At 49.4% G+C, this 19,697-nt stretch overlaps 1 protein-coding gene across 14 annotated transcripts in view; it reads left to right on the plus strand.

The window, feature by feature from the left end:
- Positions 1–19,697, plus strand: part of ADCK1 (aarF domain containing kinase 1) — a 134,906-nt gene that overhangs the window by 72,079 nt on the left and 43,130 nt on the right. For 13 of the 14 annotated variants that reach the window (NR_158989.2, NR_158987.2, NR_158988.2 and 10 more), the window contains one exon: positions 14,904–15,062. The exons of the other annotated variant lie outside the window; for it this stretch is intronic. Coding sequence is in view for 10 of the 13 variants with exons in the window: in NM_001366490.2 (NP_001353419.1) it covers positions 14,904–15,062 (159 nt within the window). In the remaining 3 variants the exon portion in view is untranslated. The remainder of the gene's footprint in view (positions 1–14,903; positions 15,063–19,697) is intronic. 14 annotated transcript variants of the gene reach the window in all.

The raw sequence follows: 19,697 nt of genomic DNA on the forward strand, positions 1-19,697 counted from the left end.
CGTCCCTTTCCCATCACTTCCAGACATAGAAACTGAGACTCTGAGATGTTAAGTAACTTCCTCAGGGTCACACAGCAGGATGGTGGCTGAGCCAGGAACTGAGCTTGAGTGTCACCGGACTCCAGAGACACACACTTCAGTCACACAAGCTGCTTCTGGGAGGTGAGTGACCCGAGAGATCTGTCTGCGAGGTTGGGCGGGGCCAGCACCTTTCCTCTGACCGCACATCTTGCCTTCCGCTCCGGGCTGGCCTCTGACCTGTGTTCCCTAAAAGCCAATCATAAGGTGGCTGAGGAGGTTCTTGAAGAAGAGGGAAGTGGGGTGTTAGGCTCTTCCCTGTCTTACCCCTGGGAAAGGTGCTGCCTCTCTGTGCTCTCAGATGGGGGGCTGGCCTTGGGGGGAGAGTGGGGGTGCCCTCTTGCTCTCCCGCCTGCTTCCTTAGAGCTGGGTCTTCTTGCTGTGCCGCCCCCAGGTCCCCTTTCCCCACTCCTTTTTTTTTTTTTTGAGATGGAGTTTCACTCTTGTTGCTTAGGCTAGAGTGCAGTGGCATGGTCTTGGCTCACTGCAACCTCCACCTCCCGGGTTCAAGTCATTCTCCTGCCTCAGCCTCTTGAGTAGCTGGGATTACAGGCATCCGCCACCACGCCCAGCTAATTCTTTGTATTTTTAGTAGAGACGGGATTTTGTCATATTGGCCAGCCTGGTCTCGATCTCCTGACCTCAGGTGACCTGCCGGCCTTGACCTCTGAAAGTGCTGGGATTATAGGAGTGAGCCACTGTGCCCGGCCTCCCCACTGCTTTTAAAAAAGTTTTAATGTTTATTTTAATAGTTTTTAGAGTACAGGTGGTTTTTGGTTACATGGGTAAGTTCTTTGGTGGTGATTCTGAGATTTAGTGCACCCGTCGCCTGAGCAGTGTACACTGTAACCAATAAGTAGTCTCTTATCCCTCACCTCCCTCCCCACCGCTTTCTACCTGCTGCTGCCACTTGGCAGCAGAGGGAGCCGAGCCCTCCATGTCTAGCTGATTTATGTTCACTGTTAAAACAATAATGTTTAATCTGGAAAGGGCTAATCAAGTTTTTATGCTGATTATGAATAGGCCAGCTGGGCCTGCTTCTTTATTCATGGAGCTTCAGAAACAAGCCCATTTCCCAGGCCAGGCCTCCTTGGTGATTTATGCCATGGGAGGCCCTGTTCAAGGGGAGCTCATCAGTGGCTTTACCTGTGCCACTTTGGAAGGGAAGCCTCGGCAACTGCTGGCATGTGCATAAGTGTGCGTGTGTGTGCCTGCATGTAACCGGGCAGTGTAGCCTGACCCCAGGTGGAGAACTGGACTTGAGTATGTACTTGTGTTTGAATGTGTGCACTTGTGTGTGTGTGTAGGTTGGCTGGGATGAGGCTGGGTGATATGCTTTGGCTGTGTCCCCATGCAAGTCTCATCTTGAATTGTAGCTCCCTCATCCTGTTCTTGTGATAGTGAGTTAGTTCTCACATAATCTGATGGTTTTATAAGGGGCTTCCCCCTTCACTGGGCACTCATTCTTCTCCTTCCTGCCGCCATGTGAAGAAGGAAGTGTTTGCTTCCCCTTCTGCCACAATTGTTAGTTTTCTGAGGCCTCCCCAGCCACACCGAACTGTAAGTCAATTAAACCTGTTTTCTTTATAAATTCCCCAGCCTTGGGTATGTCTTTATTAGCAGTGTGAGAACAGAATAATACACTGGGCTACCATTAGGATGGAAGGTAGGAGTTACAGGATCATGGCATTAGAAAGGCTAATCAGGATCAAGTACTCTAACACTCTGCTTTTACAAGTGAGGAACTAATACCCAAGGTGAGGTGACTTCGCTGAGGTCCCACAGCTGGGTGGTGGCAGTGGGGAGACTGTGGGACTAGACTGCCCCCCATCCCCGTACTCTTACTGAGAGTGCAGAACTCTTTCCACAGTGGTACAAATGGGACAAGAGGGTTGGAGGAAGGAACTGCATGGGCTGCTTTGCTTGAGTTCTCTTGATTCATCACAACCACCCTGATGCCTCTGAGGAGCTTACATTTTATGGTACAGAAAGAGCTATAGACTGAACTTTGAAAGAGGTCAGCACAAGAAGAGAGAAAGTTATCTGAGGTTTAGGTTACAGCATTTGGGTGTTCTTGGAATCTGCAAATAGGGTTGCAGGAGGGGTGGATGGGGCTTTCTGGAGGAGGTGAGAGGTGAGCAGGACTTCAGTGTGGTCAAGAGGAGAATGTACAGAAAGGCATGGAGAAGGCCTTTGGGGCAGGACTGAAGAAGTCCTTTATGGTGTCACCTGAGGGTGGGGTCTGAACCTTGAGGCCAGACTAGGGAGGCCTATGTCTCCCAGGCTGGGGTGGGGCAGGTGCTGGGCCTGGATGGCTTGGGTGTCCACAGGCAGGGGCTACTGTATGTGGACTCTGCGTGTCCCCTCTCCCTGCTGGGGCTTCACCAATCATTTGTGTATTCATTGTTTGACTTTGCAGGTATTTAGTGCGCTTCTGTGTGCTGGCCCCAGGGGTTATGAGGGTGAACAAGCTACCATCAGGGCACTATGATCTATTTATAGGGGAATAGCAGCTGTTAAATGTGTGAGGAGAAAAATAAAGCTTTAATAACACCTGTGGTAAGTGCCCTAGACTTTTCCTCTTGGCATTTGAGTGACTGCAGGGAGGTTGCAGTATTGAAGCTGAGACCAGAGGATGGTTAAGGGACAGGTGGATGGGACAATGAGAACGAGAATGCAGAGACCTCAGGATGGGAAAGAGCCTGGGTCTGTCCAGGGACAGGAGGGGCTTGGTGGCAGCAGGGCAGACAGAGACCCTGAAAGATAAGGCTGGAGAGCTGAGCTGGGTGTGCTGAGGGGGTCTGAGGCTGGTGTGGGGAACAAGAGTAGAACTCACTGGAAGACCAGTTATGGGGCAGTTATGGTCATCCAGGCAAAATGGGGCGGTGGCTTGGACATAGGGAAGTGGAGAGGAGAGGACTGACATATTTGCAGATGGAAACCACAGGACTCAAGGATGGGTTACATGGAGAGGTGTGGAGGAGGTGGAGGTGCCACAGTCACCTCCCCAGGTTCTGGCATGGACGGTGGTGGGTGTTAGCAGGTCATCCTACTGGCAGTCGGGGAAGGAATTTTCTATAATGCTGGAATTTGCATAGTTGCCTCCTCTTTCCTCAGGGTAGGAGCGAGTGGGTTGTGGTCAGAACGTCGGCAAGTGGCACTGAGCAATGTGGGGTTCAGCATTGAGAGGCTGAACAGCCTACGGTCCCTGGTTTCTAGATATTAAAAAAAAAAGAAAACTCCTTAGCACCCTGATCTAATGAGAGCTCTGGGGTGTGAGTGTTTCCCTGTCACCGGGTTTGTGGATGGAGAGGCTGTTATTTCAACAGCTAGAGCTGCTCCTGCACGTCAGCCACGAAGTCCTCATAGTGATGAGAGTCTGGCCTGGCCCCACTGCTGTGTGTGAACTATGGACTGTTGCCTGCACGTGAGCGGCAGAGGAAATTGGGCTCCTTGGGAAGAGAGGAAGATGTCGCTTCAACTGAGCAGGGCTGAGCATTTGGCCCTGGTGCTGGGAAGGAATGACATTGAGGAGGAAGCCCAGGAGGGAAACAGGGACTGGTTTCAAGTGTCCTCGCCTGGCATGGCAGAACTAGGAAGCTGTGATGTTCCCCTTCCTGGTCTCACATCTTGGGGTTCACACTTGACCTATGTTCCCCTCATCTCATTCCCCAGCTTTCCAGCCCCACCATGACCCTGCAAAATATTGCAAAAGACTAAAAATGGACTTCCACTGAGAGCGTAACACTAGTGCTGTAATCATCGGTTTGTAAAATTTGTAAAGGGCCTGCATGAGGCTCCTATTGGCTGCTGTCACAAATTACCACACATTGCATGGTTTCAGTCAACACACATTTATTATCTTATCCTGCAGGCCAGCAGTCTGAAAATTAAGGTGTTGACTGGGCTGTATTCCTTCTAGAGGCTCTAGGGGAGATTCCCTTTTCTTGGCTTTTCCAGCTTATAGAAGCCACCTGCCTCCCTTGGCTTGTGGCCCCTTCCTTCATCTTTACAGCCAGTGGTATAGCATCTTCCAGTCTCCCTCTGCCTTTTTTACCCTGTCACCTCTGCATCTGTCATGTCATCTCTTTCTCTAATTCTGCCCTTCCTACCTCCCTCTTGTAAGGATTCTTGGGTTGATATTGGGCCCACCTGGATAATCCACGTTCATCTTTCCACCTCAAAAGCCTTGCCTTTGGGGCACCTGCAAAGTATCTTTTGCCATATAAGGTGAACATCTTTGGGGGGCTCATTTTCTGCCTACCACAGTGTCAGATAATAAATGTTTTAGGTGTTGCAGGCCATACCATCTCTCTGTCACAACTGGTTACCTCTGTAGTGGTGGCACAAGCGCAGCCATGGGCAACATGTCAACAAATGAGCATGCGCCCCAGTAAACCACAGGTCTACCAAGGCAGAGAGAGATGGGTCGCTGATCCCTGTGCTAGTGTTCTTAATCACTGCTCTGCTTGCTGAACTGAGCCAGTAGAGTTATGTTGACTGCCACCCCCCGACCTCCCAAGTGTGGACTTCGTCTCCCCAGTAGATCCATGGAGCCTGGGTTTACCTCCCTTTAAAATTCCTGGGCACTGCTGGTATCATATGCCAAGTGAATCCAGAAAGCTTTTTACTGGGTGCAACATCCTTGCATGTACAAAGAGCTTTGGGGCTGGGTGCAGTGGCTCACGCCTGTAATCCCAGCACTTTGGGAGGCCAAGGCGGGTGGATCACCTGACTTCAGGAGTTCGAGACCATCCTGGCCAACACAGTGAAGCCCTGTCTCTACTAAAAATATAAAAATTAGCCGGGTGTGGTGATGCGCACCTGTAGTCCCAGCTACTTGGGAGGCTGAGGCAAGAGAATCACTTGCACCTGGGAGGTGGAGGCTGCAGTGAGCTGAGATCATGCCACTGCACTCCAGCCTGGGCAACAGGGTGAGACTCTGTCTCAAAAACAAACAAAAACACAAAGGGCTTTGGTATTTACTTGCTTTTGGCTCCGAGGCAAGCATCATAGCTTAGGCACATTTGCTGTGTGGCATTTTGCTACCTCCTGAAGCCCAGGACGTCTGTCCTGATAGCAAATGGAGCTGCTGTAAGTGAAGAATGCTGTGCTTTGTGGATGCAGGAACAACTGAGGGTTGTCGGAAAAGGCCTTTGGGGTTTTGTGAGGGTGAGCTTGTCAGGTTTTAGAATTCACGGCCCTCATCAGAAATGAATGTGAGCCTTTGTGGCTGGGCGTTCACCTCAGTGGGCAGGAGCTGTGGATGGGGACCCCTTCCCAAGGGGGAAATAGGGAAACCAAGTCTGGATTCCTAGTTTGGGAGTTGCTGGCTTTTGTATTTCTGGCTCTCTCCAGTCTCTGTGTCTCATTCTCCTTATTCATGGTTCACACATGCTGTTCCCTTTGCCTGGAAGGCTTCTCTACCTCCTGGGTTCAAACGATTCTCCTGCCTCAGCCTCCCAAATAGCCGGGACTACAGGTGTGTGCCACGATGCCTGATTAGTTTTTTATTTTTTTGTAGAGATGGAGTCTTGTTAATGTTGTCCAGGCTGGTTTTGAACTGCTGACCTCAAGTGATCTTCCTGTCTTGGCCTTCCAAAGTGCTGGGATTACAGATGTTGAGACACTGCACCTGGCCAGCTTCTCCTTCCTTTCTTCAGCTAGTTAACTGGCTCCTCAGCCTTCAGATCTCTGCTGTTTGTCATCTTCTCAGAGAAGCTCTCTCTGCTCTCCCTGAGCAGGTTCAGCCCCTGAGCATAGGCTCTTATGGTGCCAGCTTTCCCTTCATTGCACTTGTCAGAGTTGGCCATTTTACTTTTATTTGTGATTATGTGGTTACTTTCTATCGCCTTCCCTTGACTTCTAAGTTCTAGCTGTAACTCCGGAGGCTGGTGGCTGTACCCACTTTGGATTTACTCCTCAAATGCCCAGTGATTAACATCGTGCCCTGCACATATTAGTCACTTAGTAAACATATGTTGGATAGATAAATGAGTGATCCATAGCGAATATATTCTCCTTTATAAAATGTAGGCAATAATCTCTCCTCTAACCTCAAGAGAGGGTTGAGAATTACATACGAGCATTTTGAAGGGACCAGACCTTACCCAGATATAAGGAACTACCCATGGTTGAGCATTCAGTCCGTGCAGGGCAAAGATATCCTGACATTCCCTTGTATTGACCCAAGCTCAAATTCAAGGGGGAGGTGGTGGGTTCTCACGTGGGCAGGCTTGCAGTGCTGGGTGCAGGGCCCGTCTTGCCTGGGTCTAATCTCCTGGTACCACCTCTCTCAACTGTGGTGGGGCATAAGCACTTGGCCTCTGGGGCTCAGGGCTGGCTCATTGCCTCAGTACTTGGATCACCCAGGGGTTACCTGCCTGGCCTGGGCCCTGGCTCTGGGTGTCTCTGGCTTCATACTGTACTGTGTCCAGGACCTCTGGTCTCTTTTACCCTAGAGATCTCTGTTACAGGCAGGGACATAGATATGTCACCCTGTGAGGCTATAGATGTTATTAAGATGGGGAATGCTGAAAGATTAGATTTATGATAGCCAACGGTGGATTATGAAGAATAATTTATCAAATGTCAGTGCCTGTGGCCTACAATTTACAGAAGGTTTGCTTAAACTGGGAGGTCTGATTGGACTGTCCCTTCCCCCCCCACGAATGAATGACAGCTCTACTGGATGGCTTCCCAGGCTGGCCAGCCACACTGGGTGTTTATCTGCTTTTTATTAATCATTATTATCACAACATTTCCGTAGAGTCCCTTCATCCACAGCTCTCAAGGTACCCAGCACCTAGGAGGCTCCCTCAGCCACCGTGAAGGAACTGTAGCCACTTCTGGGAGGTGTTTCAGCTCCCCTGGATCAGCTGGAGGGCCCAAGGTTCCCTCTCCCTGATGAGGACAGGGGAAATCTAACCTGAATTCCATTCATCTGTTAGGAAATACTTACCGAGTACCATCAGGTGTAAGGTGCTTTTGATGCAGTGCTGAGCAAAAGCAGATGTCTATAGTCTAGAAGAGAAGGGGGAGATTAAGCAAATATGAAGAGGTAAATGTGCAGCTGTGGCGATTGCTCTCAAGGAAGGTGCATGAACCCTGAGAATGTACGCAGGGGAGACCTCTCTGAGGAGGTGATTGTTCAGCTGTGATTGGAAGAATGAGTGGGGGAAGGGAGCCTTTTGGCCAGAGGGGACAGTGTGTGCAAAGGGCCCATGGTGCATGCAGAGAGCATGCTGGTGGCTGAACGAGGTCATATGTTTCTAGCAGAGGGAGGAGGGTGGGGCAGGAGAGGTAGGCCGGGTCAGACCCCATGGGTCATGTTCAAGATTTTGGCTCTAGGAAGCTGGTGTAGTGACTTATGCAGCGAGAAGTGACATGATCAGCTTATGTTTGGGAAACTCACCCTAGCTGCATGTGTAGGCTGGATTGGAAGAGATAGGGCAGGCTGGTGAGGAGGTCATTGCAGTCTCTGGGGAAATGAGGGTGGTGGCTTACACTCACTGATGGAAGCAGACTGAGAGTCCGAAACTGCTGACTCTGTGCCCAGCACTCTTCACTGTAGCACTCTGCCCTCATAACTGGAGGCGTCATGTGAGGCACCCACTACTATGGCAGTTATTGGGGGGCTACTATAGGCTCTATTCTAGACCCTTTATGTATGTGGTTTCATATGACCCTATGAGGTCAATATTAAAATAACCATTTTACAGATAAGGAAACTGAGGTACAGTGGATTTGAGCCTTGGCAGTTTGACCTAGAGCCTGCACTGGAATCACCAAGCCTTACAGCTTCTCAGGCTAGACTGTCCTGACGAGCTGATAGACGTGTCTCAGAGTGCGCACACAGCCATCCTGGAGTATGGGTGCCCCTGGCTTCTTTTCTTCCCTACCTGTCAGCCGCTGGTCATCATCTTGAGGGAAGAAAGAAGCTTGGTCTGACCTGTGATGCCCTTGACAGAGCCAGGGGGGTGATGGCCTTGTGCCAGGAGGCGGTTCAGCAATTGGCAAGCATTGTGCCAGCCTCAGTGCAGGAACAGTTTTGTAATTTCTGGGATTGGCCCTTGTCAGGAGGGCCTCAGGTTCTGCTGCTGGCCCTTCATTTTCTTTTCAGCTTGGCAACAGCAATAGCTAATGGCTCTGCAGAACCAATAGTTTGATCTTTTGGAACCCCAGAAAGAACACAAACTCCATGGAAGACAAGGTCGGCGTGTCCTTGAGCTGTTATTGCCATTATTATTTTTATTATAATAAATTGCTCTGAGCGGGAAGCTGGTGGTGAGGGTATTCCCACCTTGAGGCAGAGCAGCTGTTGAGTGGGACAGAGGTCCAGACAAGGAGTGAGGAGGGAGAGAGACACTTGATGCCTGTTCTCCCCTCTGATCACCATGGTCACATCAGAGGTCTCCTCTTCTTACCTTGCCGAACATTTCTTTCAGGATTGGAGGAAGCAGCAATGTGCAGGAAGCACTGTCTCCAGCAGGCCCTGCTAAAATACAAGTGTGTTTTTCTGAGAGGCTGTTGCCTTTGGACGTCTCCTCATGGCCAGAGACTGTGTTAAGTACACCCTATGTAATTAACATGGTTCCTGTCATATGATGGTCCTGCAGTAAATATGTGTTGACTGATTGGCTTAGGCTAAGGAATAGCAAATTGGTTTCATTTCGTATATGAACTCTGGTCAATTTGTAGTGGCTGCCTGGAGCACTGTGTTGAGATTCCAAGGCACCATCTGGGATCATCAGGAATGGACTGGTGATGTCTGGCATGGGTTTGCTTGGGGTGTGTTAGTTAGCTATTTCCACATAACAAATTACCCACGTCCCACCTACAAAACTTTGTGACTTAAATCAATAAACATTTGTTATCTTACAGTTTCTTTGGGTCAGGAATTTGGGAGGCTCTGGCTGAGTCTCTCATGAGGTTGCAGTCCTATGGAGGCCTGGCAGGGGCCGGAGGATTGTTTCCAAGACGGCTCACTGTTGTCAGGAGGCCTTGGTTCCTTGCCACATGGACCCCTCTGCAGGCTGCACGAGTGTCACCATGCCGTGGCAGCTCACTTCTCCCAGAGCAAGCAATCCAAGGGCGAGTGAGAGACTCGTCACAGCCTTTATGACTAGGTCTTGGAAGTCCCATGCTATCGCTTCTTCCATGTGTTCTTTGTTGGGAGTGGATCATTAATTCCAGCTCACACTCAAGGGAGGGGAATAGGTGCCCCCTCTCAAAGGGAGGAGTATTATTTAAAAAATTATGGACATGTTTTATTTAGTTAATTAATTAATTTTTAACATCCAGTTGGTACTAAAAAGATTCTGTTAACACCTATCAGGGCATGTCACTTCCATGCTTAGGACACTGCAGTGGTTTCTCACCCTTTTCCCCCCTAATAATTAATTAATTGTAAAGACAGAATCTTGCTATGTTGCCCAGGCTGGTCTTGAACTCCTAGCCTCAAGCAGTCCTCTTGCTTCAGCCTTCCAAAGTGCTGGGATTACGGGTATCAGCCTCCATACCTGGCCATTGTGAACATATTTTAAAGCTATCACCGGGAAATGAGTGTGCTTGTGCCACTTGCTGTTACCGTCAGGTCACCTTGGAAGATACAGGAATAATTCTGAAGAGGTGGGTTACAAATCAGACATGTTTAAAGGAGAGGGGCAGGAATTGCAGCAAAAGCGGGTATTGGCTGATAGGGCAATGACAAGATATAGGGGTATCTGGGGCAGGTCCCTGGGAAGTGGTACGGGGAGAACTGGATGGGTTCCAAACAGAGGTGTTGGAGAGGTGGTGGTGGGTTTTCTGCCCAAGGCAGACATCTGAGTTTTGCAGAGTCCTAGATAGCTGGAGTTATTGTGTCTGCCTTAGGCTGGGGGTGGGAAAGGGTGGGTGAAACTCTCTCCAACCACTTCCATTAGTGTGGACAGATACTTGTCTCTCTGCTCACCAGGCTCCAGTGGATGGCAGCTGGCACCCAGCCAGGTGTAGGGGGGGCCAGCTCGAGACTGCAGGAGCCAGATGTTGTTTGCTGCTGATGCCATGGTAACCTGCCCTGAGTTGGTTCTGCCCCAGGTGCCCTAAGTGGGAACTGCTTGGTCTTGGCATCTAGGCCTGGGCTTGCCTGCTTTGAGGCAGGCTTCCGTCTGCATCTGGAGCCAGACATTTCGGTGTTTGTGAGATGCATTATTGATACGGTGATGTAGTTTCTAAAACCAAAATCGGCCTGACGTGACCGAGTATGGGAACAGCAGGCTGCAATATTTGAAAGTGGGCTATCTTGGAAGAATTCAGCCGTCCCCCATCCTGTGATTGAGGAGCCCCTTCCCTGAGGGCCCTGAGGCTGGCCACGCTGTGGCATCTGGAGGGGCTGTTTAAGGTACTCCAAGCAAAACTCCTCAGGAGGCGTCGTGTGGTTTCTCTAGAAGATCCTGACTTCCTGTCACCTTATTTTGGTCTTGGCCAGTGCTTGGCTGCTCAGTGTGGCAGTTTGGAAACATTGTCCAGTACCCTGGCTTCATGGGACTCTGCAGGGTGGAGTTTCTGGATAGTCTCTTACTCTGCCCTTTGACTTGGGTATGATGTCACTTAGTCTCCTGATTCCCAGGCTCATGAAGCCAGACTGCTGAGGACTTAACTGCCCCAGATTTGTCAAGCCCCTAGGGGATGACACATTTTTTCTTACACCACCCCCCCCCCCGTGCTTTTTTGCTCATTAAATGACAAACACTTCCCCCCTTCGCACATGTGTGCACACACACACAGAGAAAGAAACCAAATGATAAAAAGCCAGAGAAACTCTTTTTCTGATTATTTTTCCTTTTCCAGACAGGGACATCGATATATTTGAATCACGGGCCGACAGTAATTAAAAAGCACGTAACTAGTCATATTAAAATGCAGTTGTTTTACTTAACTGATTTTGCCGCTAGACCCAGAGCGGGGGAAAAAAAGAAATGGGGAAAGAAAGCCTTAGAAAAGGAGGCAAGTTTCTGTGAGTGACTGGAGGCAGCTGAGGGCCCTGCTTGAATCTAATTGCTGCAAATGCTGCAGTTTGTTTCTGGTAATGGTTTTCTGCTGAAAGGGCTGGGGGACGAGGCCTGATTGGAGGGGGGTGGTGTTTGTTTCAGCTGCATGGGGGGTATAATTCTGCTTTCGGGACAGGGTCTATTTTTCCTTACCATCTATCAGCATAAAGTACTTCCACTGAACACTTTGAATCAAGGTTCCATTTAGAGATACTTTATTCATATTTAATTACAGGCTGCAGCACCAATCTTTAATTACCTTTTTTATAAGCCAGCTAGGAACATCCACTAGCAATCAATTATCATGTGTGTGTATGTGTGTGTGCTTGCTTAAGCACAGGAGGGTGTGGGCGTGTGACTTGCTTCCTGATAGAGAAGGAAAAGATGGCTGCAGGGACACTGGGGAGGTGGTGGGGTGGGGTGTCTGTGTGACAGGTTTCCGGTGCCCAGTGAGGGGTGCATCCTCATTCCCCATGCCTATCTTTGCTTCTGCTGGTGGAACTGGGATGTGGGCAAGTCCTCACAGCTGGCTCTTGTTTAGGGTGCTGAGTTGGCCACTGGGATTAGGTGGTATCTTGGGGCCCCCTTGATTCCCCTGGTGGGGATGGGGAATTGTGGGAGGCCTCCTTCATGTCCTCTGGGGATGTGGTGGACCAGGCTTCCTCTCGCCCTGGAGATTAGGATCTGCTCGCCTCAGCTCTTTCTTTCCCTCACCTCCCTGTGGGGTGCTCTTGGCAGCTGTTCCTGCTACACAGCCCTAGTGATGCCATGTCACTCTTCAGTTACAATGACTCTGCAGTGCCCCTGCAATGACACTGGCTTGGAGACTGGTTGTCCTTCTCAGACAATGAGCACATGTTCCTGGGAGTCAGGTGGAGGCTTGGGGTAAGGACTGATGTCAGATGACCCCCAAATCCCTTTTCAGTGGGAAGATTGGGCCATTTTAGCTGCCCGAGAGATGAGGGTGTGAGTTCACAGCTCTGCTCCAGAAAACCCTCTGCTTGGTGCTCCTTCAGGAACTCCAGAGGGCTTGCAAAGGGACTTGGTGTTGATCTCATTATGTAACAGCTGAGGACATTGCCGAGGCTCTGCCTTCCCTTCCATTCCTGGGTCCCTGTCCCAGCAAGGGGGTGGGGAAGGGATGGAACTCACATTTACTGGGTCTTGTGTGGGGCCTGGGCACCAGGTCTGTGTTTTTTTCACTTATCCCTGCTGGGGCCTGAGAACACTATATCCATCAGAGCCCCTTCAGTTGTGTGTGGCAGATAACTGAAACTGACCTAAGCAGGAAAAGGAATCATAGGGTGGGTACTCAGGCATGGCTGGATCAAGAGGCTCAAACACCGTGGCCCGGGTTCACTCCCTCTGTCTCTGCAGCAGAGGCTTTCTTCTTTGTTGCTACTATGTGACCCTCAGCAGTTCTACCCCAGGCTTATATTTTTATGTTCAGGTTCAACTGAGAAAAACATCTATATCAAACGAAAGTAAAATGATTGAGTCTGATTGGACCAGTTGAGTTACCTGTATATCTCTGAACTAATGCATGTGGCCAGAGATATTCAGGGTCCTGATTGGCCAGGCCAGGGCCTCACACCTGCCTTGGAGGAACAGGTGTGCTTTTTCTATTTTGGAAAGCTCCATGTTTGAGGTCTTTGGATTCATAGGAATGTGGGGACAGGAAGGTCTAGCCATTTCAAAGGGAAGGAAAAGTTGATTCAATTCTTCTCCAGTGGAATAGTGGATTCATTCATTCAACAAATTTGTTTGGCACCAACTAGTTCCAGCCCTGTTCTAGGGAGTTGCAGGAAATTCAGCAGTGACAGAACAGACAAAAATCTTTGCCCACTTGGAGCTGATGTCCTAATGGGGTTTACAGGGATGATGATCCCAAACCCAGGCCCAAGATAAAGGGTTCTTATGCTGAGAAACTCAGGGTGATTGGGTGGATGACAAGGGAAGAATTTTGCTATTGGGAGTCTAGAATTCACGAAGGAGGAGAAAAGACAAGTGTGTTTTTGGGGGAGCAGGGAGAACCAGACACTGGGAGAGACACAAATAACAAACCAACCAGGATGAAGGGGGCCAGGGAAGCGAATCCCATACCCATCTCTCCTGACAGAGAAGCGTAGGCCTTTCCTCATGTGGCCTGGGCCTTTCATCTGGGCAGGTTGTTGATAAATGGGGATGGAGTTTAGTGAAAGCTACAACAATGATGACAGGGCTGGAGGGAGTGATTTATGAGACGAGATTAGGAAAGTGATGGTGTAGCCTAGCAGATGGGGTGGGATGGTGGCTGTGGGTCATGTGACATCTGAAGTCCAAGGAGAGGAGTGGAGGGGCAGGGCAGAGTGGCTGCTGCAGTAGCAGGGATAGAGGGAGGAAGGGCTGTGCAGACTGAATAGACTTCAAAGCATGAGGGCCTAGGAGGGTGGGCCAGGACAGCAGGCATCTATACATGCTTGTGCATGTGTGTGCACATGTCTGGACTTTCCAGGATTGTGAGGCTGCACAGAGGCTTAAAGAAATGGAGAGGATTAGGATTTCAGCCTTGGCCAATCTTGGAAAAGACCTTTAGGGGCCTCTTTCCTAGTTGGCAGAATATTTGGATCTGGACATGTAGGTGTGACCACTCAAGTCAGGGAATTTTATTTCCTTCAGGAATATTGGTATGGCATTTCTAAGAGGGAAGGAGGGAAGGAAGAAAGAAGAAGGAAGAGTGAGGAGTATATTTTCTACTTCATAGAAAAAGAAAATGAGGCACAGAAAAAGCAAGGGGCTTTGTCCAGGCCTACCTTCGAGTGGCATTGCAGGTGATGACCTAGAGCAAAGTTCTGGCTTGCAGCCCTGGGGTCTCTGCTGGAGTGGCCAGGCTGGGAGTGGACTTGGTGACCCATGTTGAGGCTGCTGCTCAGGCCGGAACAAAAGGCAGTTGTTGGTCTGGAGCCTCTGCCCAGGATTCTTTGAGCTCCCCTGGTTGGTAGAATGGAAACATCCTCTGTCTGATCCCTGAGATACTGGGGCTGCCCTGGGCCCACATCCTCTGTCTGATCCCTGAGATACTGGGGCTGCCCCGGGCCCACATTCTGTTAATGCTGGATTGTCCATATGTAAGAGCCTAGAAGGCACAGTGGTGGACAGTTCAATGGGCAAATAAAGCTCAGTTCTGAAGAGCACTTCTTTGGCCTTTGATGGAGGTGCTTAGGGGCCCGTGCACAGGTATGAGGATGCGCCTTCCATGTACGTCTTCTGTCCCCCTTCCTCTGTATGCCTACCGTGAATGTCCAGCAGTGGAGGACCAGGCAAGACCCTGGGCTGGTACACAACTGATAAAGCAAAAAAATCTGTCCTGGAGGCTGGGTGCAGTGGCTCACGCCTGTAATCCTAGCACTTTGGGAGGCTGAGGTGGGTGGGTCACTTGAGGTCAGGAATTTGAGACCCCATCTCTATTAAAAAATACAAAGATTAGCTGGGTGTGATGTCACACACCTGTAATCCCAGCTACTCAGGAGACTGAGGCAGGAGAATTGCTTGAACCTGGGGGGCGGAGGCTGCAGTGAGCCAAGATCATGCCACTGCACTCCAGCCTGGTCGACAGCGCGGGACTCTGTCTCAACACACACACACACACACACACACACACACACACGCACAACACACACACACACTCTCTCTCTCTTTCTCTCTCAAATCTGTCCTGGGGGCACTAGGCAGCCCTGACTCTGGCCCATCTTCCTGGCTCCCTCTCACTGAACTGGGTCATCTTTTTCATTGCTCTGTTCTCTCCACTCCCGACAGATCCATGATTTGTTCCAGAGCTTCGATGACACCCCTCTGGGGACGGCCTCCCTGGCCCAGGTCCACAAGGCAGTGCTGCATGATGGGCGGACGGTGGCCGTGAAGGTCCAGCACCCAAAGGTGCGGGCTCAGAGCTCGAAGGACATTCTCCTGATGGAGGTGAGAGCCCTCCCTTTCTCCTTCCTGTGTCCTCAGTCTACATTTCCCTGGGATCCAGGCCACCTAGGTGGAACTGGTTCAAGCTGGTGAGTGGAGTGTGGCCCTTCAAGCAGCAGAGGGAGAGGAGAGCTGAGATTACGACAGAGGAGGTGTTATGACAGCTCCCTGACCATGAAACCCTGTGGCAGCATGGGTTAGTTCTTGATTTGTCCCTGGAGTTCCCAGGAACTGCCTGTGATGGTCTCAAAACACACTAAGTGGCTGCTAGGGGCCAAGGGGACCTCAGGGAAGGGATGTTGTAGAAATGAGCTGAACCAAAGGTGTGTTTTTTGTCTACCAAAGGGATAGACAAAATTACATCTTAATTTGTTAAATTGTAACAAAAGGGAGCATGTGGTCAACAGGGATATAAAAATGACATACAGATCACATAGAAACATCTATGCAGGTTGCAGGTTTGCTTCTCTGGTACTTATTTGGAATGAAGAAATTCACGTGTCTGAACGGTCCTAGGAAAAACCCTTAGTGGACTTTTCTAGCTCTGTGCTCAGAGTAAGGGCGGAAGGTGCTGAGCAGCCACTGCTTGAGTCAGTAGCCATCACCGCCTACGGGGAGGTCAGCAATCTGTTTAATTTGTCAGTATGTCCCTTTTCTTCCTTTTCTTGTTTCCCTTCCTTTGCTCCCCTTCCTCACTCTGGACTCTTAGTTTATTCTTTCAACTCTAACCAAACTTGATGCATATATTGAGGGTCTTCTGCACCCTATGCTAGGTGGGTGCTGGGGACATGAGAGTGAGTGAGCCCCATCTTCATCTTGGGGTAATCCTCATTTAGTGGAGACAGGCGTGTAAACAGTCACAGCGTGTTTGCACAGTGCCATGTAGCACTGTGCCTGGATGGATGGGGCACCAAGGGGGCTGCAGCAAGATGGTGACTCTTGAGATAGCCAGGCAGCGGAAGGACAGCCCCGCGGGTGTGAGGGCCTGACTGCTTGGAGGACAGAGTGTACTTGGATAACTTCGACCTGTTCAGATGGTATGAGCTCGAAGTGGAGATGAGGCTGGGAAGGTAGGTAGGACAGAACACGGGGGGTTTGTATTCCAAGCTAAGGCGTAGAATGGTATGTATGGTCAACACTCACTACATATTTGTGGATCTGAGCAGATCTGATTTTTTTCCTGTAGTCAGTGGGGAACCATTTAAGAATTTTAATCAGGGGACTGTCATGATCAGATTTGCATTAGAAATAAAAATCTGTTGGGAGTCTGGAGAATGGATTGGAAGGCAGAAAGACTGTAGCCAGGAGACGAATTGAGCTGCTGCATGGGTCTGAGACAGAAATAATGATGTGAAGTGAGGAGTGTAATGGGAGTAAGGGAGATGGATGGGTTCAAGGGGCAGAATCATCAGGATTTGTGACCAGCTTTACACATGGGGTGGGGGCAAGGACTGGTATGAATGAGAAGGAGACAAATATCTTAGGTTTCTGGCTTAAGTGATTACGTTTAGGTATATTTAACTATATATAGTAGTTCCCCCTTATCTGTGAAGATACATTCCAAGACCCCCAGTGGATGCCTGAATCCTCAGATAGTGCCCAACCCTATATACGCTGTTTCTTCTTATACACACTGATATGGTTTGGCTGTGTCCCCACCCAAATCTCATCTTGAATTGTAGCCCCCATAAGCCCCACATGTTGTGGGGGGGGACCTGGTGGGAGGTAATTGATTCATGGAGGCATGTCTTTCCCATGCTGTTCTCATGACAGTGACTAAGTCTCACAAGATCCGATGGTTTTATAAAAGGGCAGTCCCCCTGCAAAGGCTCTCTTGCCTGCCACCATGTAAGATGTGCCTTTGCTTCTCCTTGGCCTTCTGCCATGATTGTGAGGCCTCCCCAGCCATGTGGAACTGTGCGTCCATTAAACCTCTTTCTTTTATAAATTGTCCAGTCTCAGGTATGTCTTTTTAGCAGCGTGAGAACAGACTAATACACATACATACCTATGATAAAGTTTAATTTATAAATTATGCATAGTAAGAGACTAATAAAATATAATTATAACATATAATTATAATGAGTGAGGTGAATGTGGTCTCTTTCTCAAAATATCTTGTTGTATTGTACTCACCTATTTTCAGGACACAGTTGACCTTGGATAACTGAAACCTTGGAAAGCTAAACTATAGAGAAGGGGGACAACTATTTATCAGTCAGGGTACAGCTGGGGAAAATAACTTGCTCTATGTTACTCCCAGATCATAGACATGGGAGTGGGAGCTGCAGATGCTGTTTGAGGCAGAAGAGTTTCCATCTCCTCTTGCCCCCCCAGTATGCCAGTATCCCTCAGTGTTGCCTCTGGGCAAAACCTAGCTGGCAGCAAGTTGGCAAGGGAGCCTGGGAAATGGAAGTTCTTATAAGAGTAAGGGGATCGGGATGCCTCTCAGAACAAAGTGAAATGGTCAATGCAGCAACCAAATAGGGTAAAATAGTGCTCTTGGCAGTTTTGGATAGGGATATCCCTGTTGGTCTGGAATCCAGGCTGGAATACAAATTCAGCATGTATGAGTAAAGATACTTTTGATAGATGAATGTGGTGGAGTAGTTAAGATCACTAGAGAAGGTATATAGAGTTAAAAAAAAAAAAAAAAAACAGAAGAAGAAGAAAGAAGGCAAGGAAAAAAAACTGTGCAAAACATTGGGGGGTGAGCCCAAGAGGATAAGTTCATGAATGGGACTAAGAAAGCATGGTCAGAGAGATTGGAGGAAAACCAGGATTGAGCAATGCTGCTATATTCAGTGGAGAAAAGTTAAAGATGAAAGCACTATATTAGTTATCTAATGCTGCATAATGAGTCACCTCAAAACACAGTGAGCTTAAAACAACAGTCATGTGTTTTGCTCATGAATTCGCAGTTTGGCCGGGGCTTGGTAGAGAAACTCATCTGTTTTATGCAGCTCTAGCTGGAGTAGCTTGACTGGGGGCTGGAGTGGCTCATTTCCTGGCTGGCAAGTTGGTGCTAGCTGTTGTCTGGGAGCTTAACTGGGGCTGTGGGCCAGGGCCTTAGTTCCTCTCCATATCAGCCTCTACATGGCTGCTTGGTCTTCCTCACAGCATGGCGGCTGGGTTCTAAGAGCAAGTGGCCCAAGAGAATAAGGCTGAAAGTACATCACAGTTTTATGACTCAGCCTTGGAAACTACATAGGATTACTTCTTTCTTACTCTTTTGGATGAAGCAGTCACAAAGGCCCCCTTAGTTAAGTTCAGGGTTGGGGAAATAGACTCTACCTCTTAATGGGAGAGTGGCAAGGTTCTAGAAGTGAATTAGAATGGGAGGTACTGTTGCAGCCGTTTTGGAAAACATAGTCTGCCAGAATTCCTCAACGTTGTCATATGGGAGATCAAATCAGTAAAGCACTGGAAAGGGTATTTTGGATCTGGCGATTTAGGGTGGTTAGAAAGAGCAGCTACAGTGGCCTGATCGGGGTGAAAAAGAATTGAGACTCAAGAAAGTGGAGACTCTTCATGGAGAATGTACTGTTTTCAGATATTTAGCTGTGGAAGGTTTGGGAGAGTTAGGGTAGTGGTCAGAGCAGAGCATAGGATTAAATACTGAGGAGACTTCAGTGGAATCGTAGCTGATGGGGAAGGGGGCAGGTTGGGGATTCAGCAGAGAGAAGTAATTGCTAGATCAAGTCCTAAGGGAGATTCAAGCGACTGGGAATGAAGAACACAGGTGGAAACCTTAGCCTTTGTTTCGAGCCCAGTGGAAGGTGGGAAGGCTGGGTACAGATGAGTGTGTGGGGCAGAGGAGAGGGGGAGGGAAAGTGGGCAGCAGAGTGTGTAGCAGCCTGATAGCCTCTATTTTTTCTCTGAAGTGGGAGGCAAGACCATCTGCTGAGAATGAGGGGGTAGAAGGTAGCATTGGAGACTCGAGGTGGGTGAAGGTTTGGAACAGCTACTGTGTGCAGTGGAAGGGAGCTGACCAGGGCAGGAGAGCAGGATTGCTGGGTGGCCCTGAGCATCCGCCTACAAACCTGATTTTTCTAGCACACCTGTCAGCAGCTGTGGAGCAGCCATAGCTGGGAGAGACCTGGGAGACTTGGAGGATCCCAGGGTTTCCTGAATCCCAGAAGCCACTCCTGAGTCAGGCAGGAAGCTGCCTCTGCGTAGTAAAGCCATCAGGGCCCACTTGGACAGTGAGGACAGCTGTCGCTTTTTCTTTGCGTTTTCTTGCTGGCTCCCTAAGTAATGGTTGCTGTAAGGTCAGAGCAATAATAGCAGTAATAAAGATTTGGCATCTTCCTCCCTGAGATAAGCATCACATGCTTTTCTTGGGAAGCACAGCCTGGCAGGCTGTGTGCAGAGTACAGAGTGGCTCCTTAGTAGTGGCTGAGGCAGTTCTGGGGCTGGGACCACAAGGCAAACCTGAGACCCGCACTCATACCCTTCAGGAGAACAGCTGGAATGGAGGCCTGAGGCCACCACCCCATGGATCATCAGGATTAGCAGCAGCACTGGGTAACACTGCCATCTCACTGGGCTTCGTCTCTGGTGGGAAAAGTCCTGCCTGGGTCTTTCTCTGGTACAAAACCAAGAAGGGCCCAACTGGAAAGCTCGTACTTGAAGTGA

This window comes from Homo sapiens, chromosome 14 (genome assembly GCF_000001405.40).
Source record: "Homo sapiens chromosome 14, GRCh38.p14 Primary Assembly".
Lineage (NCBI taxonomy): Eukaryota > Metazoa > Chordata > Mammalia > Primates > Hominidae > Homo > Homo sapiens.